Below are 24,180 nucleotides of genomic sequence, written 5' to 3' on the forward strand. Positions count from 1 at the left end.
CAGTCCCAAACAGAATGATCTTTGCTTGTATAATTTTTAATAAAGAAGACATTGACATTGGTCTAATGAAGATAGCTACATCTTGAATTATTTACTAAAATACCGTAACCTCTAATCTTGTGGCTTTAGGCAGTCTAGTGTACAGGCAGGAAGGAGGTCTGTTTTGGGAAAGGACTGTTATTGTCTTTGTTTCAAAGCTGTATTAATCAGGGTTCTTTAGAGGGATAGAACTAATGGAATATATAAATATACATATATTTATATAATATATATATTTATATATATGTAAAGGGGAGTTAATATTAAGTGTTAACTCACACAATCACAGGGTCCCACAATAGGCCATCTGCAGGCTGAGGAAAAAGGAGGGTCAGTTCGACTTCCAAAACTGAAGAACTTGGAGTCCAATTTTCAAGGGTAGGAAGCATCCAGCACGGGAGAAAGAAGTAGGCTGGGAGGCTAAGCCAGTCTCTCTTTTTACATTTTTCTGCCTGCTTCTATTCTAGCCGAGCTGGCAGTTGATTAGATTGTGCCCACCCAGATTAAGGGTGGGTCTGACTTTCCCAGCTCACTGACTTAAATGTTAATCTCCTTTGGCAACACCCTCACAGACACACCGAGGATCAATACTTTGTATCCTTCAATCCAATCAAGTTGACACTTAGTATTAACCATCACAAAAGCTGAAGTATAAACTAAGATCCTCCCAAAGTTAGTTTTGCCTATGCCCAGGAATGAACAAGGACATCTTGGCAGTTAGAAGCAAGATGGATTAAATCATATCTTTTTCACTGTCTCAGTTATAATTTTGCAATGGCGGTTTCATAACTTTAAATGATGACTATTGCAGTTTTCATAAATAATCTAGGTAAACAAAATAAAATAATTAGGTAAATGTAATGGCAGAAATACTTGTAGACAAACTTGTCATAATTTAGAATCTAAACTTATGTTAAATAATAGATATTTCATTATTTGGGTATTTTCCAATAAAAATATATGGTAGGAAAACATTCCTTCTTAAAAAAAGATTTGTTTTGAAAAAGGAGAATAATTTTTGTCTAATTCAATGCTTATTTAAAGGTTATGTATAAGCAAGGTAAAAGGAACCAGGAAATAAGAGAGATGTAAAGAAAGTTATAGAAATAAAGGCCCGGCACGGTTCCTTACGCCTGTAATCCCAGCACTTCGGGAGGCTGACACAGGTGAATCACTTGAGGCCAGGAGTTCGAGACCAGCCTGGGCAATATGGTGTAACCTCATCTTTACTAAAAATACAAAAATTAGCCAGATGTGGTGGTGTGCACCTGTAATCTCAGCTACTCGGGAGGCTGAGGCAGGATAATCGTTTGAATCCCAGTGGCAGAGGTTGTAGTGAGCTGAGATTGTGCCGCTGAATTCCAGCCTTGGTGATAGAGTGAGACCCTGCTCAAAAAACAAACAAAAAGAGAAAGTTATAGAAATAAAGAGGTATTTTTTGGTAGGAAAGCTTAAAGAGAAATGATTTTTTTTTTCTTTTCAGACAGAGTCTCACTCTGTCGCCCAGCTAGAGTGCAGTGACAAAATTTGGCTCACTGCAACCTGTGTCTCCTGGGTTCAAGCAATTCTCCTGCCTCAGCCTCCCAAGTAGCTGGGATTACAGGTACATGCCACCATACCCAGCTAATTTTTGTATTTTTAGTAGAGATGGGGTTTCATCGTGTTGGCCAGGTTCGTCTCAAACTCCCAAGCTCAAATGATCCACCTGCCTCAGCCTCCCAAAGTGCTGGGATTATAGGTGTGAGCCACCATGCCCAGCCAAGAGAAATGATTTCATATGAGAAAGAATCTTGTATGGTAAATTTAGTCCTAGAATAAAATGACTGGTCGTTTAAGAAAGAGAGATGTTCAGGCCGGGCGCAGTGGCTCATGCCTCTAAATGCCAGCACTTCGGGAGGCTGAGGCGGGTGGATCACCTGAGTTCAGGAGTTTGAGACCAGCCTGGCCAACATGGTGAAACCCTGTCTCTACTAAAAATACAAAAAATTAGCTGGGTGTGGTGGCATGCGCCTGTACTCCCAGCTACTTGGGAGGCCGAGGCAGGAGAATTGCTTGAACCTGGGAGGCAGAGATTGCAGTGAGCTGAGATTTTGCCACTGCACTCCAGCCTGGGCAACGAGTGAAATTCCGTCTCCAAAAAAAAAAAAAAAAAAAAAAGAGAGAGATGTTCAGGACAAACCAGAAAGTCCCAGCATGTCATGGATCCTCTATATGAGTATTTTTAAAAAATACCAAAAGCATTTATATGATCAAGTTGTCTATAATTAAAGGGAAAATATAATGGCCTTTCTAGAGATTGGGTTTGATATTAAAAAAAAAACTCTTATACACTAAAAAATTGGTTAGAACAATAAATTTTTTTTTTTTTTTTTTGAGACAGAGTCTCACTCTTTTGCCCAGGCTGGAGTGTAGTGGCACAATCTTGGCTCACTGAAACCTCCGCCTCTTGGGTTCATGTGATTCCCCTGCCTCAGCCTCCTGAGTAGCTGGGATTACAGGCACTTGCCATCACACCCAGCTAATTTTTGCATTTTTAGTAGAGACGGGGTTTCACCACGTTGGCCAGGCTGGTCTTGAACTCCTGACCTCAGATGATCCACCCACCTTGGCCTCCCAAATTGCTGGGATTACAAGCATGAGCCACCGTGTCTGGCCAGAACAATGAAATTTTCTTAAGGGATTGATTTATTCTTAAGAGATTTTAATTTTTTTAACCCAAAGTTCAACTTTTATTGCATCTTGCCATTTTTGGTTTTCTCTCCCCCTTTAAAAGGCATGAAATAATAACACTCTTCTTCAAACCATTTTCAGCTTAAGTTTTTTCCGCCCCCCTCAGGTTCTGTTTGTTGTGGCCTTATGCCAACAATGTTTCCTTAAAGGTCTAAAGCAAATGTTTTCTTCCAACATAATATTCTGTGCAGTGCAGAAGGTCTTTTCTTTTGCCTTTTGGTAACTGGCTTAACAGATTTTATGTGTTATTGAAATAATTCGCATGCCATTATTATTAAGTTTTGGTTTGATTAGAAAAAAACTGAGATTAAAAAAGTTTTTTTTTTTTTTTTTTTGAGACAGAGTCTCACTCTGTTGCCAGGCTGGAGTGCAGTGGTGCGATCTTGGCTCACTGCAACCTCCGACTCCCTGGTTTATTGATTCTTTTGCCTCAGCCTCCCGAGTAGCTGGGATTACAGGCATGGGCCACCACATCCAGCTAATTTTTGTATTTTTAGTAGACATGGGGTTTCCCCATGTTGGCTGGGAGATCTTGATTCCTGACCTCGTGATCTGCCCACCTTGGCCTCCCAAATTGCCGGGATTACAGGCGTGAAAAGTTTTTGTTAAAATTAAGATTATTGGCTGGGTGCAGTGGCTCACGCCTGTAATCCCAGGACTTTGGGAGGCTGAGGTGGGTGGATCATGAGGTCAGGAGTTTGAGACCAGCCTGGCCAATGTGGTGAACCTCTGTCTCTACTAAAAATACAAAAATTAGCCGGGCCTGGTGGTGTGCGCCTGTAATCCCAGCTACTTGGGAGGCTGAGGCAGGAGAATTGCTTGAACCTGGGAGGCAGAGGTTGCAGTGAGCTGAGATCATGCCACTGCACTCCAGCCTGGGCAATAGGGCGAGACTCTGTCTCAAAAAAATTAAATTAAATTAAGATTATTACACCTGTGTATCTTTCTGTATGTGCTTTTAAAGTCCTTGTGACATTGAGTTACAGGGCTTTGACACCTGGGTCTAAAAAGGACACCAGGCCAGGCACAGTGGCTCACACCTGTAATCTCAATATTTTGGGAGGCCTAGACAGGTAGATCACCTGAGGTCAAGAGTTTAAGACCAGCCTGCCAACATGGTGAGGCCCCATCTTTACTAAAAATACAAAAATTAGCTGGGTGTGGTGGTGTGCATCTGTAATCCCAGTTATTTGGGAGGCTGAGGCAGGAGAATTGCTTGAACCCAGGAGGCGGAGGTTGTAGCGAGCCAAGATCGCGCCATTGCACTGCAGCCTGGGCAACAAGGGCAAAACCCTGCCTCAAAAGAATAAAATTAAACAAAAAATAAAAAGTACACTATGTCTTTGTAAATCTTAAACACTGGCAATAATTAAGCCCTCGTCTTCTGGCCTGGTAGAAGATGCCAATCAAAATAAACTGTGTTCCTGAGACACAGGGCCAGAAATTAAAGTTATTCAACTCCTCAGGGCCCAGGGGCTATTGTGGAAAAGGTAGGTGCATGAGATTATAAGGGCTGATTTTGAGAGAGAAAATAAGTTCAGTTTCTCTATAAATTAACCATTAATGTGAAAGGTACACTGATGCAAGACCAGCATATGGGCCCCTTTGTCAGATTAACAATATTTTCTTGAAGCATTAACTGACTTCTTAATAAAACTTACAACGATTGTAAAAGGCTTATTCATGTTATATCTTATGGTCAATATTAAAATTCTATAATTTATAACAATTTGAAAAACTAATTGTCTTCATGTTCTTTTTATTAGGGCTTATTGTTTGGAAAATTAAGTTTCTTGAAGACCGAAGGTTTTTGACTTTTTTTGAAATCCTTGAGTTATCAGTTTGGTTAAATGAATGACTTATTTTACAATGACCTGTGATCCTATTTTGTGATATCAAGTGTTTTAAACCTCTGATATCTGACGAACTTTCCAAAATCAAATTATAAATTATGACTTTTTCTGACATAAATATTCCTTTAAGATATTCCTTTCCCTAAAGTCCAAAAATGACATAATTTGGCTTATTTGGCATAAAAATTATACAGGAAGCCTTGTCAAATATGAAATGGTTTTTGGCTTTCTTTGGGCTGTATTTGTATATTATTGGTATGTGTTCCAAAATTATGGGAAACTCCTATAATTCTGATTGACTTAGTGTATGTTATCAGGAATAATTATAATTGTTATGTTAAATTATTATGTGCCACAGAGGTAATTCCTTGTCAATTGTGTCTTTGACTATGGCTGCCTTAAAACTTTTTGCCATCCACAGACAATTGTTGTCTTGTTTTGGTCCTCTTTAGGAAGTGGTTTTATAGCTGATTAGCTATAAAACTCTAACAGGTGCTCTTGAATGCAGGTTTCTGATTACTTTGGAGATTGTGACATCAGAATAGAGGAAAAATGGCAGGACTCATGGAGAGCTGAAATATTTATGAGTATTAAGCAGAACAGGAATTAACTGAGTGGACTGAACTAATAGAAGACTGGAGTAATCTTTTTAGTTTTTGCTTAAAATGTTGCTGATCCTTTGTTTTGTTTTTCAGAGTAAAGGAAACTTCTTTTGGGCTAGTGTTTAACAATTAAGTAAAGTATACTCCTATAAACAAAATTTAGAGCATATTTGCTTCTTGCTACCTGATTTCTCCAGAATTTGGAAACTTTTTGAGAGTATTCCTAACTTATGGCCATATAGTTATTTGCATAAGTGCAATAAGAATCTGTTTTCATTTGTAACAGGACAGAATTGGAGAAACTGGTTGTTTTACCAAAGGCTTGACTGGAATGGCGTGCTTTTCTTTAAGGAATCAAACTTGACTTATAGAGCCAATAAAAACCCCTTAGAAGAAAACTGGCTGCATACCATGCCTACACAGTTCCTGAATAGGGTTCCTGATCTGTGGTAAGTAAAGAATATCACTTTCTGACAGGCCCAGGAGCCCCAAGTTATCTTGGGACCTCAAGAAGAGACGAATTTACTCAACTCATAGGTATTCGATGGTACAAATCCATGACTGGACTTGGCTTTAAAAAGTCTTATCTGAGATTCCTTCTGTGGAACAAAGTTCCATCAAAGCCAATTTTAAAAGCCTATGTGAAAAATAATTATTCTTGCTTCACTTTATAGAAATAGTCTAGCCAAGTATAATAAAGCAAATTGGTCCTATGATTATTTGTCTTTTGTAAAAATTGGTAACAGGAGAGAGAAAAATTATATTTCAAAAACTATAATACATCTGTTGTTAGATTCTAGTCTTGCCTAATATTTTTCAGTTTTTATTATTTTCTACAGTTTGGACTCAATTCTAATTTTTCCTGGCTACAAGTCTCCAAAATAATGTTTTCCATTTTTTTCTTTTTTCTTTTCCTTCCCCCCCCCGCACCATTTTCCTAACGTGAAATAACTGAAAACTAAGCTGTGCTTTCTTAAAACTCTGCAAACTGAAGCTAGACAACTTAAACATCAGAAGAAAATAACAGCAACCATATACATATGTAAGCCACTTTCTTACCTGCTTGTATGGACTTCAGAATAATGTGGCCTATATCAATTTTCCAGGATTGTTCTTTTGTTTTTTGTTGTTTTTCACGATTCCTCCCCCTATTTTCTCTTCCTAGGACATGAGACTTCCCAGCCTGCTAAAGGTGAACTTTCCTGATAACTTGGGACCTACCATCTAGGAATAAACTGTCCTAGCCATGAGAGATCAGATGAAACCTGAGACCAGAGATTCATTTCCTTCTAATATGCTTTCTCCCAAAGCTTTTCAAAAGAAAAGGGGGGAAATGTGAAAGGAAAAAAAATCTTGGGGCCCCCAAATCACTAAGCTAAAGGGAAAAGTCAAACTGGGAACCACTTAGGGCAAACCTGCCTCCCATTCTATTCAAAGTCATCCCTCTGCTCACTGAGATAAATGCACATCTGATTGCCTCCTTTGGAAAGGCTAATCAGAAACTCAAAAGAATGCAACCATTTGTCTCTCACCGACCTGTGACCTGGAAGCCCCCTCCCTGCTTCAAGTTATCCTGCCTTTCTGGACAGAACCAATGTGTACCTCTTACATGTACTGATTGATGTCTCATGTCTCTCTACAATGTGTAAAACCAAGCTATGCCCCAATCAATTAGGGCACATGTCGTCAGGACCTCCTGAGGCTGTGTCATGGGTGTGCATCCTCAACTCTGGCAAAATAAACTTTCTTTTCTTTTTTTTTTTTTTTTTTGAGACAGAGTTTCACTCTTGTTGCCCAGGCTGGAGTGCAATGGCATGATGTCGGCTTACCGCAACCTCCGCCTCCTGGGTTCAAGCAATTCTCCTACCTCAGCCTCCCGAGTAGCTGAGATTACAGACATGCACCACTACGCCTGGCTAATTTTGTATCTTTAGTAGAGACAGGGTTTCTCCATGTTGAGGCTGGTCTCGAACTCCTGACCTCAGGTGATCCGCCCGCCTCAGCCTCCCAAAGTGCTGGGATTACAGGCGTGAGCCACCGCACCTGGCCGGCAGAATAAACTTTCTAAATTAACTGAGACCTGTCTCAGATACAGGCAGACATCAGTGTGTATACATGTAAGGTATACATTGGTTCGGTCTGGAATGCCTGGACAACTTGAAGGGCTGGAGGGTTTCTAGCTTGTAGGTGGATTCAAATATTTTCTAGCTTGGGCGTGGTGGCTTATGCCTGTAATCCCAGCACTTTGGGAGGCTGAAGTGGGAGGATTGCTTGAGCCCAGGAGTTCGAGACCAGCCTAGGCAACATAGTGAGACCTTGTCTCTACAAAAAATTTTAAAAATTAGCCATGTGCAGTGGTGCATGTCTGTAGTCTCAGCTATGTGGGAGGTGGGAGGATAGCTCGATCCCAGGAATTCGAGGCTTCAGTGAGCCACTGCACTCCAGCCTGGGTAACAGAGTGAGCTCTTGTCTTTCCTCCTGCACTGTTAGAAATAAATTTATGGTGCCGCAAAAGAAATAGCACTCGAACATGAATTTTCTCAGCAAGGCAATTTTACTTCTATAGAAGGGTGCGTTTTGCAGATGGAGCAATGGCGAGAGCACAAGGGAGTGGAAGGGGTTCTTATCCCTGACACAGGTAGCCCCTACTGCTGTGTTGTTCCCCTTTGGCTAGGGTTGGATCACACAGTCTAAGCTCATTCCAGTGGGCTATTTTAAAGAGAGCAGGGGTATGAGCTGGAGTGGCAGGGAGAGTAGTTTGGCAGGAAGGACAGTTACAGAACAGGTACAAGATGACTAAGAACAGAGCAGGTGACCAAGGATGACTAAGGTCGGAGCAGGTGACCAAGGGTGACTAAGGTCAGAGCAGGTAATAGAGGCTAGGAGGGGGTTGTTTACTGAAACTAGGGACAAGGAGATGTAAAGAATGAGGAAGTTAAGCTTTAAAATGAGGAACAAAGAACAGGGGAGCTGAACATACTGATACATTGGTTCTTTGGAGAGGATCTCAGAACTCATTGTACTTAACAATTTATAGGCTAACACCTTTGAAGAAGCATTATTATATCCTACATGTACCATCCCCCCTGCAAAAAAAAAAAAAACAAATATTTTCTGATTGGCAATTGGTCGAAAGAGTTAAGTTATTATCTAAAGACCTGGAATCAATAAAAAGGAAGATTTGGGTTAAGATAAGAGGTTGTGGAAACCAAAGTTCTTATTATTGCAGATGAAGCCTCCAGGTAGCTGGCTTCAGAGAGAATAGATGGCAAATGTCTCTTATCAGACCTAAAAAGCTGCCAGACTCTCAATTAACTATCTCCTGGATCAGAAAAGACCAGGAAAGGGAAGGGGATTCTCTACAGAATATGGATTTTTCCTACAAGAGAGAGCTTTGCAGGGCCATTTCAAAATATGTCAAAGAAATATATTTTTGGGTAAAATACTTTGAATTCTTTCAGGGCCTGCTATCTGTCATGTGATGCTATATTAGGGTCAGGTTGGAATTTGGTATCTTACTGCTACAAAGAGTCTGTTTTGTCAGTCTTAATATCTCTGTTTAATGATAATGCTGATCAGTTGTGCCTGAATTCCAAAGGGAGGAGGGTATAATGAGGGATGTTCGACTTCCCTTCCTATCATGGCCTGAACTAGTTTTTCAGGTTTATTTTGGAAATGCCCTTGGCCAAGAGGCAGCAGTCCATTCAGTCAGTTGAGGGGTTTAGAATTTTATGTTTGGTTTACAGAGTAAATATGAGGTGAGGGCTAAAAGCACATTTTCTGAGTCCCAAATCAAGATACATGGGCTAACTAGGGATTTTTGTGCCATTTTCAGATGTGAGACGCTGTCTTGGAGGCATGGTATGAATGTAGACATGATGAAAATTCCGAGGTATTTTGATGGTTTTTGGACAGCAAGTCAGAATATTTGGAATTGGGACTATTTGGGGGTTTAAATTGTAAAGAAGAGCTTGAGAGGGAATGTTGAGGCACAAGGACAGATTAACTATAGGTAGCTGTAGACAAAATTCAAGTCAGTTTTAAAAATGATGAGTTGAAAATAAACCATGAAACTGAATTAGCCAGCAGCCGGCAAATGCATTTTCTCATTGACACCTAAGCAGTGATAAAATTCCCTCATTGTAGATCCTACCTCTTCTTCAGAAAGCATATATAGGCTTGCCTATATGCTTTCTGTAAAATAAAATCAAATTCCCAAAAGTTCCAGTAAGGTTATATGCTGTTATTTTTATATACCTCCTGTTCTCCCCCAAACTCTTGCTTCCTCAAATGCAACATCTTCCTTCTGTTGCCCTCATCTGGATTTTCAGATCATCCATCCACCCACCCATCCCTCCTCCCATCCACCCAATGAGAATCAATGGACTTCCTGTGGATGTTAGGCACTATGTGGTTCACGCTGGATTCCCAGCACTCACAGAGGCAAAGTCATGGATTAGTTAATTACAAGTTGGACAAACATGACCAAAAGAGAAAGGCATAGTGCTTTGGGAGCATAGGGCAAGGAAACAGGACCTGGTCTGAAGGGTCCTGGAAGTCTTCCTGAGGAAGCCATGTTTAAGCTGAGTTCAGAAGAGTGAGTAGAAGTTGGCCAGGAGTATTTCATGCCAGCGCCTTCCCCTCACCCCATTTCTCCCCAAGCCTGCTCTCCCTTGTCCTCTGGAATTCCTTGTCCTACTGTGAAAGCTCCCTGTGCATTTATTGACTGCTTCTCTTTTTCCAGCCCTGGGTTCTTCCTGAAGCTCCTGGGTCTCCAGTGGGTGTCTGCTCTTTGATGGTTCTGCCCACCTCCCCATTTCAGTTTGGCAATAGAATGCTCCTGTGGGCTGGGTGTGGTGGCTCACACCTGTAATCCCAGCAGTTTGGGAGGCCAAGGTGGGCAGATCTCTTGAGCCCAGGAGTTCAAGACCAACCTGGGCAACATGGTGAAACCTGTCTCTCAGAAAATTAGCCAGGTGTGGGTGGCCCACTCCTGTAGTACCAGTTAATCTGGAGGCTGAGCCCAGGAGGTCAAAGATGCAATGAGCCGTGGTCCTGTCACTGCACTTCAGCCTGGGTGACAGAGTGAGACCCTGTTTCAAAAAAAAAAAAGAAAAAAATGCTACTGTGACTCTTCCTTCTTACACAATGCTCTAATATGACTTTTAAAGGACACGGTAATCATTTTGTCTTATTTCCATGGGGTAATCATTTTGTCTTTTAACTTTTCTTATCATAGAATTGCTACATTGATAAGGCGTTTAGCACTGGGTCCCACACAGGGTAAGTTCTTGATATGTATTATTACCCCTACTATGATTTTTAAAAGACTCTGACCGTACATTGTATGTAACAGGCACTTCATAACTGCTTACTCATCTTCCCTTATCCCAGTGCCCATGGGCCAGTTAAGGCAGAGAAGATAGGGTTGTAGGAATCAAATGTTTATTGAGTACCTTAGAAGTCATCCTGACAGTGAGAAGGCTTTGTCCAAGGTTAAACGACTTGTTAATTAATGTTAGAGCTGGACTTTGGATCCAGGTCTTCATACTTGAGCATAGGTGTCCTGATTTGTATTTTAATGCTCTTTCTATGACAGTACCCCATGCTCTTCCAGTCTCTTTGTGGAGTCCCTGTCTTTTATCACTAGAAAGTGACAAAGGCCTTGACTCTGTGCTCAAAAGTCTTTTTTTGTCTCCTCTGCAAAAAGTGGACTCTCTCATGCAATCCTAGAAACTGGAAATTCTCTCTAGAGAGCATGCGTGGCTGTCTCTCAGGGATGGGGTGGGAGTTGGGGGAGGATATAATGCCCCCTCCTGCTACTTAGCAGAGTCTGTCTCGTCTGAGTGAGCATTTGGAGGACTTTTATCATGGAATCACCCTACATTCCTCAATCTTTGCTTACAAGTGCCCTTGAAGCATCCCTCTGCTTCACTTTTGGAGGAATTGAGTTATAGGTGACAGTTCATACCTACTGCCACCTTCTGTTGTAGAGTGTTAAGTACACAAGGTCTTTCTAGAGATGTGCTCTAGGAGGCAGTATGGCATCAGAGTTAAGAACACAGAACCTGGAGTCAGTCTACTTGGGTTTAACGTCAGCCTTAACTTGGGCAAATTATTTAAACTCTCCAAGTCTCAGTTTCTTCACTGAGGGACAACAATCAAAGCTACTTCAGAGGGCTGATGGAGGATTAAAAGGTGCTACGACATATAAAGCACATGGCCCACTGCCTGGCACATAGCAAGCATTCAATAAATGCCAGCTGTTATTATTTTCTCATCTGATACCTACAGCAGCCTTGGGAGATAGGCAGGGCAGGTGTTATTAACCCTTCTATACCCCTGGGAAGGCTGAGTTTCAGAAATGTTAAATGACTTGATCTGAGGTCACAGAGCCAGTGAATGGCAGTCAGGACCCCAGGTGGTCTGACTCTGAGTTCAGTGCTCCTTCTCCCTCTGAGTGGCCTCTGAAATGAATGGTATTTCCCTTGGGGACCTGCCTGACCAACTTTCATGTTTGTGAATTCTCTTTCCTTCCAGCTTCTCCTCCTTTTGTCAGAATTCTGCCTGGTGATAGTTTCCAGAAACCCACCAGTCAAAACGCTACCTGTTTCTGTGAGGCCAGGATGCAGGCCTCTCAGGAGGATTCAGGAGGGCTACTCAGTCTCTGGAAGGCTGGAGGGTTCCTGCTCATGCAGTGAGTACATTGAGCCTTCAGCTGGGAGTTAACTTAGTTGTCTGTTGGGTGGAATTACCTTGAGTCCCTTCAACTTGAAAGAAAACCTAACATATATTTGTGCATTTGAAAATTGCAGAATGATTTAATTTTATATCAAGTATTGTAATATATATGATATTACTGGAAAGATACTAATGAGTTTTTACTTGCATTTTATACAAAGGATAACTTCTTATTCAAGGCCTCTGGGCCTCTTGCTTTTACACATTACCAAGAACATTCCATTTTGTTCAATAAAAGCATTGATTTCATCCGTCTTTGTTGTCCGATAGGTTGGCAGGGTAGGGCTATTGCTTGCTTATTTTCTTACCTCTGGAGTATTCACTTCTGAAATGAAGGGGTGTTTCACTTGTGGACTGGGTGATGCTGGGTAAGTTGCTGAACGTCTCTCTGGGCCTCAGGTGCCACATCTGAAATGATGATTCTTATCTCACAGACCTGTGTAAAGGGTTCAAGCACTGTCCCTGACACTTACTAGGGGCTTGGTCAGCCTGAGTTTATCTTATGTGTTTATCTTTGTCCTTCACATTTATCCATCCACAGTAACATTAATGACTTCATTTGCTCCAAACCCATGAGGCACATGGGACCAGTATGAATTTGAAATAGAAAAGGATATGGCTAAATTGCCTTATAAAAACCTTTATCAGTTTATACTACCATCAACTCTGTGAGTGAAAGTTCCCAATTTACTTAAGAATACTTCAACTTTTTATTGAAAAATAAAACACAGATACAAAAACCCACACCTAACAAATGCACGGCTTAATGAATTATTGTGAATGCCACGTGAGTTAAGAAGTAGAACTTTGCCACCCACCCCAGAACCTGTGCCCCTTTCCCTCATCCCAATTGCCTACCCCTCTCTCTCTATAAGTAGTCACTTTCTTGACCTTTGTAGTAATCATTTACTTTTTAAAGTTTTTTTAAAGATCCAAATGCGCATCTCAAGATACTCTAGTCTTGCTCATTAAAAAAAAGTGATAATTTTTTAAAGCCGCGATTATTCAGTAAATTCTTCCTCCATCCCTCTTTTTTTTCTTTCCAATTTGCCTGTAGAAGAATTCAGGCCTTTTGGCTTGTAGAGTTTCCCATAGTCTGGGTTTTGCTGACTGCATACTCATGGTGCAGTTAAGCATGTTCCTCAGTCCTCTGTGTTTTCTACAAATTGGCAGGTAGTTCAGAGACTGGATTAGAACTCAGGTTCAGTTTCTTTGGCAAGATTGTAGGTGGTGTTAGGCATGATTATAGGAAGTGCATAATATCTAATGGTCTCTTTTTATGTTTGTAACCATTCATACGTACTTTATTGAGGGCTGCAGAATGGTGATATTCTATCATTTCTTTTCCATTTATTAGTTGGGATACTTTTATAAAGGGAAACTTACCCTTGTTTATTATTTGTTTACCCAGTGGTGCAGTTCCTATGGGAAAGGCTGGATTAATGCTGGAGTTTTCCCCCTTTACATACCAGTTTTCAAGACAATGAATTAATTCCCTATCATCCTCTGAGGGTGACCAATCATTTTAAAAAATATCATTATGAATCCATAGGTTTAAATATATTTGATGGTTTTAGTCTATTGCAAGCTTATCCAGCATGTGGCCCACAGTCTGCATGCAGCCCAGATAGCTTTGAATGTGGCCTAACACAAATTTGTAAACTTTCTTAAAACATTATGAGATTATTTTTGCAATTTTTTTTTAAGTTCATCAGTTGTTGTTAGTTTATTTTATGTGTGGCCTAAAACAAGTCTTCTTCCAGTGTGGCCCAGGGAAGCCAAAAGATTGGACACCCCGGTCTATTGCAATTATTATCATCATTGAAGCTCAAGTTGTCCCCCATCTTTGGTCAGTGGAAGCTTCTTCAGGTTTGATTCTAAGTCCTTTTGACATGATCATAGTGTTTTTTTATAGTTTCCTTATTATTTGGCATGAAGAAGTGTTCCAGGCTCATCTCATATATATCCTGCTCCAGACATAAAATGAGCCATTTCTCTGAGAATCACTGGTTTCTTTGGATAAGAAATTTGTGATGGTTAATATTGAGTGTCAACTTGATTGGATTGAAGAATGCAAAGTATTGTTCCTGGGTGTGTCTGTGAGGGTGTTGCCAAAGGAGATTAACACTTGAGCTAGGGGACTGGGAGAGGTGGACCCACCCTCAATCTAGATGGGCACAATCTGAGCTCAATCTAATCAGCTACCAGCGTGGCTAGAATAAAGCAGGCAGAAGATGGAAACAGCAGACTTGCTGAGTCTTCTGGCCTTCGTCTTTCTCCTATGCCAGATGCTTCCTGCCCTCAAACATCGGATCCTGAGTTCTTTAGCTTCTGGACTCTTGGACTTACACGACTGGTTTGCCAGGGCTTTCGGGCCTTTTGCCACAGGCTGAAGATTGCGCTTTTGGCTTCTCTACTTTTTTTTTTTTCTTTTTTTGAGACAGAGTCTTGCTCTGTCAGCCAGGCTGGAGTAGAGTGGCACAATCTCAGCTCACTGCAACCTCCGCCTCCTGGGTTCAAGCAATTCTCCTGCCTCAGCCTCCTGAGTAGCTGGGATTATAGGCTTGTGCCACCACACCTGGCTAATTTTTGTATTTTTAGAAGAGACAAGGTCAGGCTGATCTTGAACTCCTGACCTCAGGTAATCCGCCCGCCTTGGCCTCCCAAAGTGCTGTGATTACAGGCGTGAGCCACCGCGCCTAGCCGGCTTCCCTACTTTTGAGGTTTTGGGGCTCAGCTGGCTTCCTTGCTCCTCAGTTTGCAGGTGGCCTGTTCACACTTCACTTTGTGATTGTGTGAGTCAGTACCCCTTAATAAACTCCCCCTTATATATACATCTATCCCATTAGTTCTGTCCCTCTAGAGAATCCTAATACAAAACTATACATCAAGACCACAATCTGCTAGTGATGATCATTACTACTGAGGTTGGGCCTTATTTCTAGACCTTTTCAATAAACATTTAGAACTGGGGGGACTTGAGGTAAGGGATTTATTGCATGTTGATAACATTTGTCTGTGCCTTTTACAATTGAAGATCAGTTTTACTGGATATAAAATCCTTGGCTCTTTCTTTCCTTGGGCATCTTAAATATGTGAATTCCATTTCCTTTACCATAAAATATTGCTGTTGAAGAGTCTGATAATTAGCTGAATTTCTTTCCCTTCTTAAATCATGTACTTTAATTTTCTTTATAGCTAAAGACGTTATTTAAAGTACAGTAATTTTACTAGAATGTCTTGGTACTGGTTATTCTGGGTAAATATCCTCAGGGATGAGGTCCGCTCTTTTAATATGAAGTCTGGAATCTTTTTTTATTTCAGGAAAGTTTTCTTGAATTATAGTTTTAGTGTCTGTTCTGTTCCCTTCTTGTGGTTTTTTTTAGGAACTTTATTATCTGTATGTATGATCTTCTTTGCCTGCCTTCAATATTTGTCAGTTTCTCTTCAGTTCTTTTTATCTCTTCACTTTTATTTGTTAAGATTTTTTTCCTGTTTTTCACCTGTTTCTCTCTCTCTCTCTCTCTCTCTCTCTCTTTTTCCTGAATAGAGATGGGGTCTCCTTCTGGTTCCCAGGCTGGTCTTGAACTCCTGGGTTCAAGTGATCCTCCCGCATCAGCCTCTTAAAGTGCGGGGGGTTACAGGCATGAACTTCACCTGTTTCTCTTAAGAAACATGTGTTTATTGACCCTGTCTGACATTTCTGAAGAGAGCAGTGGTTCTCCTGGCATGGGGTTTGAGCTCTGAGAATGGACAGACTGCCTCCTCAAGTGGGTCCCTGACTCCCATGTAGCCTAACTAGGAGATATCTCCCAGTAGGGGCTGACTGACACCTCATACAGGCGGGTGCCCCTCTGGGATGAAGCTTCCAGAGGAAGGATCAGGCAGCAATATTTGCTGTTCTGCAGCCTCCACTGGTGATATCCAGGCAAACAGGGTCTGGAGTGGACCTCCAGCAAACTCTAACAGACCTGCAGTTGAGGGACCTGACTCTTAGAAGAAAAACTAACAAACAGGAAGGAATAGCATCAACATCAACAAAAAGGACATCCACACCAAAACCCCATCTGTAGGTCACCAGCATCAACAAAAAGGACATCTACACCCAAACCCCATCTGTAGGTCACCAGCATCAAAGACCAAAGGTAGATAAAACCACAAAGATGGGGAGAAACCAGAGCAGAAAAGCTGAAAATTCTAAAAACTGGAGCGCCTCTTCTCCTCCAAAGGATCGCAGCTCCTCACCAGCAACGGAACAAAGCTGGATGGAGAATGACTTTGACGAGCTGACAGAAGTAGGCTTCAGAAGGTCGGTAATAACAAACTTCTCTGAGCTAAAGGAGGATGTTTGAATCCATCGCAAGGAAGCTAAAAACCTTGAAAAAAGGTTAGACGAATGGCAAACTAGAATAAACAGTGTAGAGAAGACCTTAAATGACCTGATGAAGCTGAAAACCATGGCACAAGAACTATGTGACACATGCACAAGCTTCAATAGCTGATTCAATCAAGTGGAAGAAAGGGTATCAGTGATTGAAGATCAAATTAATGAAATAAAGCAAGAGGAGAAGTTTAGAGAAAAAAAGAATAAAAAGAAACAAAGCCTCCAAGAAATATGGGACTATGTGAAAAGACCAAATCTATGTTGGACTGGTGTACCTGAAAGCGACGGGGAGAATAGAACCAAATTGGAAAACAGTCTTCACAATATTATCCAGGAGAACTTCCCTAAGCTAGCAAGGCAGGCCAACATTCAAATTCAGGAAATACAGAGCATACCACAAAGATACTCCTGGTGAAGAACAACCCCAAGACACATGATTATCAGATTCGCCAAGGGAGAAATGAAGGAAAAAATGTTAAGGGCAGCCAGAGAGAAAGGTTGGGTTACCCACAAAGGGAAGCCCATCAGACTAACAGTGGATCTCTTGGCAGAAAGTCTACAAGCCAGAAGAGAGTGGGGGCCAATATTCAACATTCTTAAAGAAAAGAATTTTCAACCCAGAATTTCATATCCAGCCAAACTAAGCTTCATAAGTGAAAGATAAATAAAATCCTTTACAGAAAAGCAAATGCTGAGAGATTTTGTCACCACCAGGCCTGCCTTACAAGAGCTCCTGAAGGAGGCACTAAACATGGAAAGGAACAACCGGTACCAGCCACCGCAAAAACATGCCAAATTGTAAAAACCACTGATGCTAGGAAGAAACTGCATCAACGAATGGACAAAATAACCAGCTAACATCATAATGACAGGATCAGATTCACACATAACAATATTAACCTTAAATGTAAATGGGCTAAATGCCTCAATTAAAAGACACAGACTAGCAAATTGGATAAAGAGTCAAGACCCATCAGTGTGCTGTATTCAGGAGACCCATCTCACATGCAGAGACACACATAGGCTCAAAATAAAAGGATGGAGGAAGATCTACCAAGCAAATGGAAAGCAAAAAAAGCCAGGGGTTGCAATCCTAGTCTCTGATAAAACAGACTTTAAACCAACAAAGATCAAAAGAGACAAAGAAGGACATTACATAATGGTAAAGGGATCAATTCAACAAGAAGAGCTAACTATCCTAAATATATATGCACCCAATACAGGAGCACCCAGATTCATAAAGCAAGTCCTTAGAGACCTACAAAGAGACTTAAGACTCCCACACAATAGTAATGGGAGAATTTAACACCCCACTCTCAACATTAGACAGACCAATGAGACAGAAGTTTAACAAGGATATTCAGGACTTGAACTCAGCTCTGCACCAAGCAGACCTAATAGACATCTACAGAACTCTCCACCCCAAATCAACAGAATATACATTCTTCTCAGCACCACATCACACTTATTCCAAAACTGACCACACAGTTGTAAGTAAAGCACTCCTCAGCAAATGTAAAAGAACAGAAATCACAACAAAGTGTCTCTCAGACCACAGTGCAATCAAATTAGAATTCAGGATTAAGAAACTCACTCAAAACTGCACAATTACATGGAAACTGAACAACCTGCTCCTGAATGACTATGGGGTAAGTAACGAAATGAAGGCAGAAACAAAGATGTTGTTTGAAACCAATGAGAACAAAGACACAACATACCAGAATCTCTGGGACGCAATTAAAGGAGTATGTAGAGGGAAATTTATAGCACTAAATGCCCACAAGAGAAAGCAGGAAAGACCTAATATCAACACCTTAACATCACAATTAAAAGAACTAGAGAAGCAAGGGCAAACAAATTCAAAAGCTAGCAGAAGGCAAGAAATAACTAAGATCAGAGCAGAACTGAAGGAGATAGAGACACAAAAAACCCTTCAAAAAATCAGTGAATCCAGGAGCTGGTTTTTTGAAAAGATCAACAAAATTGATAGACTGCTAGCAAGACTAATAAAGAAGAAAAGAGAGAAGAATCAAATAGACGCAATAAAAAATGATACAGGGGATATCGCCACCGATCCCACAGAAATACAAACTACCATCAGAGAATACTATAAACACCTCTATGCAAATAAACTGGAAAATCTAGAAGAAATGGATGAATTCCTGGACACATACACCCTCCCAAGACTAAACCAGGAAGAAGTTGAATCTCTGAATAGACCAATAACAGGCTCTGAAATTGAGGCAATAATTAATAGCTTACCAACCAAAAAAAGTCCAGGACCAGATGGATTCACAGCCAAATTCTACCAGAGGTACAAAGAGGAGCTGGTACCATTCCTTCTGAAACTATTCCAATCAATAGAAAAAGAGAGAATCCTACCTAACTCATTTTATGAGGCCAGCATCATCCTGATACCAAATCCTGGCAGAGACAGAACAAAAAAAGAGAATTTTAGACCAATATCCCTGATGAACATCAATGCAAAAATCCTCAGTAAAATACTGGCAAACCGAATCCAGCAGCTCATCAAAAAGCTTATCCACCATGATCAAGTTGGCTTCATCCCTGGGATGCAAGGCTGGTTCAACATATGCAAATCAATAAACGTAATCCATCACATAAACAGAACCAATGACAAACACCACATGATTATCTCAATAGATGCAGAAAAGGCCTTCAACAAAATTCAACAGCCCTTCATGCTAAAAACTCTCAATAAACTAGGTATTGATGGAACGTATCTCAAAATAATGAGAGCTATTTATGGCAAACCCACAGCCAATATCATACTGAATGGGCAAAAACTGGAAGCATTCCCTTTGAAAACTGGCACAAGACAGGGATGCCCTCTCTCACCACTCCTATTCAACATAGTGTTGGAATTTCTGGCCAGGGCAATCAGGCAGGAGAAAGAAATAAAGGGTATTCAATTAGGAAAAGAGGAAGTCAAATTGTCCCTGTTTGCAGATGACATGATTGTATATTTAGAAAACCCCATCGTCTCAGCCCAAAATCTCCTTGAGCTGATAAGCAACTTCAGCCAAGTCTCAGGATACAAAATCAATGTGCAAAAATCACAAGCATTCCTATACATCAATAACAGACAAACAGAGAGCCAAATCATGAGTGAACTCCCATTCACAAAGAGAATAAAATACCTAGGAATCCAACTTACAAGGGATGTGAAGGACCTTTTCAAGGAGAACTACGAACCTTACCCCCAACTCCGTGCTCTCTGAAACATGTGCTGTGTCAACTCAGGGTTAAATGGATTAAGGGTGGTGCAAGATGTGCTTTGTTAAACAGATGCTTCTAGGCAGCATGCTCGTTAAGAGTCATCACCACTGCCTTATCTCAAGTACCCAGGGACACAAACACTGCGGAAGGCCGCAGGGTCCTCTGCCTAGGAAAACCAGAGACCTTTGTTCACATGTTTATCTGCTGACCTTCTCTCCACTATTGTCCTATGACCCTGTCAAACTCCCCTCTCCGAGAAACACCCAAGAATGATCAATAAATACTGAAAAAAAAAAAAAAAAAAAAGAATGTTGAATACTGGCCCCCACTCTCTTCTGGCTTCTAGAGTTTCTGCCAAGAGATCTGCTGTTAGTCTGATGGGCTTCCCTTTGTGGGTTACCCGTCCTTTCTCTCTGGCTGCCCTTAACATTTTTTCCTTCATTTCAACTTTGGTGAATCTGACAATTATGTGTCTTGGAGTTGCTCTTCTTGAGGAGTATCTTTGTGGCATTCTCTGTATTTCCTGAATCTGAATGTTGGCCTGCCTTGCTAGATTGGTGAAGTTCTCCTGGATAATATCCTGCAGAGTGTTTTCCAACTTGGTTCCATTCTCCCCGTCACTTTCAGGTACACCAATCAGACGTAGATTTGGTCTTTTCACATAGTCCCATATTTCTTGGAGGCTTTGTTAGTTTCTTTTTATTCTTTTTTCTCTAAACTTCCCTTCTCGCTTCATTTCATTCATTTCATCTTCCATCGCTGATACCCTTTCTTCCAGTTGATCGCATTGGCTCCTGAGGCTTCTGCATTCTTCATGTAGTTCTCGAGCCTTGGCTTTCAGCTCCATCAGCTCCTTTAAGCACTTCTCTGTATTGGTTATTCTAGTTATACATTTATCTAAATTTTTTCAAAGTTTTTAACTTCTTTGCCTTTGGTTTGAATTTCCTCCTGTAGCTCGTAGTTTGATCGTCTGAAGCCTTCTTCTCTCAACTCATCAAAGTCATTCTCCATCCAGCTTTGTTCCATTGCTGGTGAGGAACTGTGTTCCTTTGGAGGAGGAGAGGTGCTCTGCTTTTTAGAGTTTCCAGTTTTTCTGCTCTGTTTTTTCCCCATCTTTGTGGTTTTATCTACTTTTGGTCTTTGATGATGGTGATGTACAGATGGGTTTTTGGTGTGGATGTCCTTTCTGTTTGTTAGTTTTCCTTCTAACAGACAGGACCCTCAGCTGCAGGTGTGTTGGAGTTTGCTAGAGGTCCACTCCAGACGCTGTTTGCCTGGGTATCAGCAGCGGTGTTTGCAGAACAGTGGTTTTTCATGAACCACAAATGCTGCTGTCTGATCGTTCCTCTGGAAGTTTTGTCTCAGAGGAGTACCCGGCTGTGTGAGGTGTCAGTCTGCCCCTACTGGGGGGTGCCTCCCAGTTAGGCTGCTCAGGGGTCAGGGGTCAGGGACCCACTTGAGGAGGCAGTCTGCCTGTTCTCAGATCTCCAGCTGCGTGCTGGGAGAACCACTGCTCTCTTCAAAGCTGTCAGACAGGGACATCTAAGTCTGCAGAGGTTACTGCTATCTTTTTGTTTGTCTGTGCCCTGCCCCTAGAGGTGGAGCCTACAAAGGCAGGCAGGCCTCCTTGAGCTGTGGTGGGCTCCACCCAGTTCGAGCTTCCCGGCTGCTTTGTTTACCTAAGCAAGCCTGGGCAATGGTGGGCGCCCCTCCCCCAGCCTCACTGCCACCTTGCAGTTTGATCTCAGACTGCTGTGCTAGCAATCAGCGAGACTCCGTGGGCATAGGACCCTCCCAGCCAGGTGCGGGATTTAATCTCCTGGTGTGCCGTTTTTTAAGCCCGTTGGAAAAGCGCAGTATTTGGGTGGGAGTGACCCGATTTTCCAGGTGCCATCTGTCACCCCTTTATTTGACTAGGAAAGGGAACTCCCTGACCCCTTGCACTTCCTGAGTGAGGCAATGCCTCGCCCTGCTTCGGCTCACGCATGGTGCGCTGCACCCACTGACCTGCGCCCACTGTCTGGCACTCCCTAGTGAGATGAACCCAGTACCTCAGATGGAAATGCAGAAATCACCCGTCTTCTGCGTCGCTCACGCTGGGAGCTGTAGACCGGAGCTGTTCCTATTCGGCCATCTTGGCTCCTCCGCCCCTGTATTTTTTTATATATATCTGTTTCTTCCTATAAGAATATCAGTGTCTCAAGGGTAGGGATCTGGTCCTATTCGTTTTTGAAACTCTCTCACCTAGTATTCATTAATAGGACTAAGTGAGAACAGAACATCCAAGACCTTTAACAAGGGACCATCCCTTTTGTGTTTCCTGATGTTTTAAGAGACAAAAGTGCTTTTGCAGCTGTGGCTTCTAAGACTAAGAGAAGAGATTAAACAAAGCCAAATTTACTCAAAGCACAACATATCTGTGCATGTATTCAGGTCTGTCTCTAGCATCCTAGTCAGAAAAGCAGTACCTCCCTCCATAGTCTGATACAGATTTCAGACTTGCATCCCCCTAGGACAATACCACTTGCACCATTGGAAAAATGCATTATTGCTTTCTCTAGCAGCTGATTAAATTCTAGTTCCCCATGATGCATGGAACTTGCTTGAGGACTGGTGGAGTACCTGGACTATAGACTTCATTCTGAAATCCCACCAACTCCCAAAGAACCCATCATACAGCCCATGGTGCATGCACACTCCAGGTACCACTACCATATGACTACAGGCCCAACCACCACCTCTTGAAAGCCAGAGTGGACCTACCTCTCTTGAGGCTGGCCTTGTAGCCAATCTAGTTGGCTTCTGTGTGTTCCATAGCCTTGCCATGTGCCTTGGACCATGCAATATTGATGATGATACAAGTAATCCTTTAGTGAGCACTTATCAGTGTACCGGGTGCTGTGCTAAATGTGCTTCAAACAACATTTCATTGAACTCCCACGACTCAATGAATTCATTTCTATTGCAGATGAAGCCTCTGAGAAGTTAGGTAATTTTTCTCTAGGTTACAGTGCAAGTAAGTACAAGAGCCAGGACTAAAACTCAGGCTTGTTAGAAGTGTCCAAAATCCATGTTCCTAATGACTTGTAGCATGAGGGTTCCCAGAAGCTAGCTCTGAGATGGAGATTTGTATGCAGGAGATTTACGAGGAATGTGCTTCGGATCAACACCTGTGGAAAGAATGAGTTGGAAGCAGGATGGGGCAGATGAAGAAGCTGAGCACTGATGAAGTCCCAGTGAAAGCCTCAGCTAGCCCCCAGGGAACTCTGAAGCTGGGATGGCCCTTTAGAATCATCCTGTTGTGATATAGAAGCTGGAAAGAGGAGAAACCTATAAAATAATTAAGAAACAATTCTATGTCATCACTCCAGGGAAGCTCGTTAATTTATTCACTTACTTGCCCACTCATTCTTTGATTCACTCATTCATTCATTCAGTGTGCCAGATTCGGTGCTGGATTCTGGGGGACAAGGTACAAAGTGAAGTTTACAGTCAACACGGAGATGATGAACACATGAGCTAGCAGAACACAGTCTTACGGGTGCTCAGATAGAGATGTGCACAGGGTTCCATGAGAGAATGGACGTGGGGATGCACTGAAAGCAAGTGGGAGGAGCCAGGATGTTGCTGCCTCCTCAGAGGTGACTGGGCTTTCCTAGGGCAGGGGAAGAAGGGCATTCTGGGCCCAGGGGAAAGACTGAGCTTTTTAGTTTTCTCCAGATGGGTTTTTTTTTTTTTTTTTTTGAGACAGAGTCTTGCTCTGTTGCCCAGGCTGGAGTGCAGTGTCACAATCTTGGCTCACTGTAGCCTCTGCTTCCCAGGTTCAAGCAATTATCCTGACTCAGCCTCCTGAGTAGCTGGGATTACAGGCGTGTACCACCGTGCCTGGCTAATTTTTGTATTTTTAGTAGAGATGGGGTTTCACCATGTTGGCCAGGCTGGTCTCAAACTCCTGACCTTGTAGATCTGCCTTCCTCAGCCTCCCAAAGTGCTGGGATTACAGGCGTGAGCCACTGTGCCCAGTCTCAGATAGGGTTATCTTAGTTAATTTGGGCTCCTGTAACAAAAGTCAAGACAGAGTGGCTTGTAAACAACAGACATTGACTTCTTATAGTTCTGGAGGCTGGAAGTCAGATCAGGGCCACAACAACTTTCTGGTTAGGGCCCTCTTCTGGGTTGCAGACTGCTGACTTCTTATCCTCACATGGCAGAAAGAGCTAGAGAGCTCTCTGGGGTCTCTTTTATGAGGCACTAATCCCATTCATGACAGCTCCACCCTTATGACCTAATTACTCCCAAAGGCCCCACCTCCATTATCCCCTTGGGGGTTAGGATTTCAATATATGAATTTTTGGGAAACACAAACATTTAGCCCATGACAGGGGCCAAGGGAGTGAGGTGGGATCAGAAACCAAGGCCCTCAGATGTGTGTGTGGCAGGGAGGGTGGTGGGTAAGAAACTCATCAGTGCGGTTTCTGCACACGCCCTGTTTATCCAGGCCCTTTGATTCTCCCCAAGAGGGAGGAGACCAGCGAGGAGACCAGCATTGGGCAGAACAGAGAAAAGAGGTGGCAAATTATTACCCATTAAG

The 24,180-nt window shown here is 42.1% G+C and overlaps 1 long non-coding RNA gene across 1 annotated transcript, besides 3 other annotated features; it reads right to left on the reverse strand.

The window, feature by feature from the left end:
• Window positions 1-1,249: 1,249 nt before the first annotated feature.
• Window positions 1,250-23,803, reverse strand: LINC02071 (long intergenic non-protein coding RNA 2071). Its single transcript, NR_110751.1, has 6 exons — window positions 22,987-23,803; window positions 22,353-22,759; window positions 21,641-21,769; window positions 12,274-12,373; window positions 10,227-10,317; window positions 1,250-1,425 (listed from the first exon to the last, which is right to left on the reverse strand). It is a non-coding gene; the product is annotated as a long intergenic non-protein coding RNA 2071 (long non-coding RNA).
• Window positions 8,156-8,245: an enhancer, noted in NCBI's record as "active region_12403". NCBI's record gives its function as "activates an Ori minimal core promoter by ATAC-STARR-seq in GM12878 lymphoblastoid cells {active_cell/tissue: GM12878}" and the evidence as "EXISTENCE:reporter gene assay evidence [ECO:0000049][PMID:35858748]".
• Window positions 19,412-19,931: an enhancer, noted in NCBI's record as "NANOG hESC enhancer chr17:49408132-49408651 (GRCh37/hg19 assembly coordinates)". NCBI's record gives its function as "activates a minimal SCP1, AML or CMV promoter by ChIP-STARR-seq in naive H9 embryonic stem cells {active_cell/tissue: H9 hESC(naive)}" and the evidence as "EXISTENCE:reporter gene assay evidence [ECO:0000049][PMID:30033119]".
• Window positions 20,824-21,324: an enhancer, noted in NCBI's record as "H3K4me1 hESC enhancer chr17:49409544-49410044 (GRCh37/hg19 assembly coordinates)". NCBI's record gives its function as "activates a minimal SCP1, AML or CMV promoter by ChIP-STARR-seq in primed H9 embryonic stem cells {active_cell/tissue: H9 hESC(primed)}" and the evidence as "EXISTENCE:reporter gene assay evidence [ECO:0000049][PMID:30033119]".
• Window positions 23,804-24,180: the final 377 nt, after the last annotated feature.

Source organism: Homo sapiens, chromosome 17 (assembly GCF_000001405.40).
Source record: "Homo sapiens chromosome 17, GRCh38.p14 Primary Assembly".
NCBI classification, from domain to species: domain Eukaryota; kingdom Metazoa; phylum Chordata; class Mammalia; order Primates; family Hominidae; genus Homo; species Homo sapiens.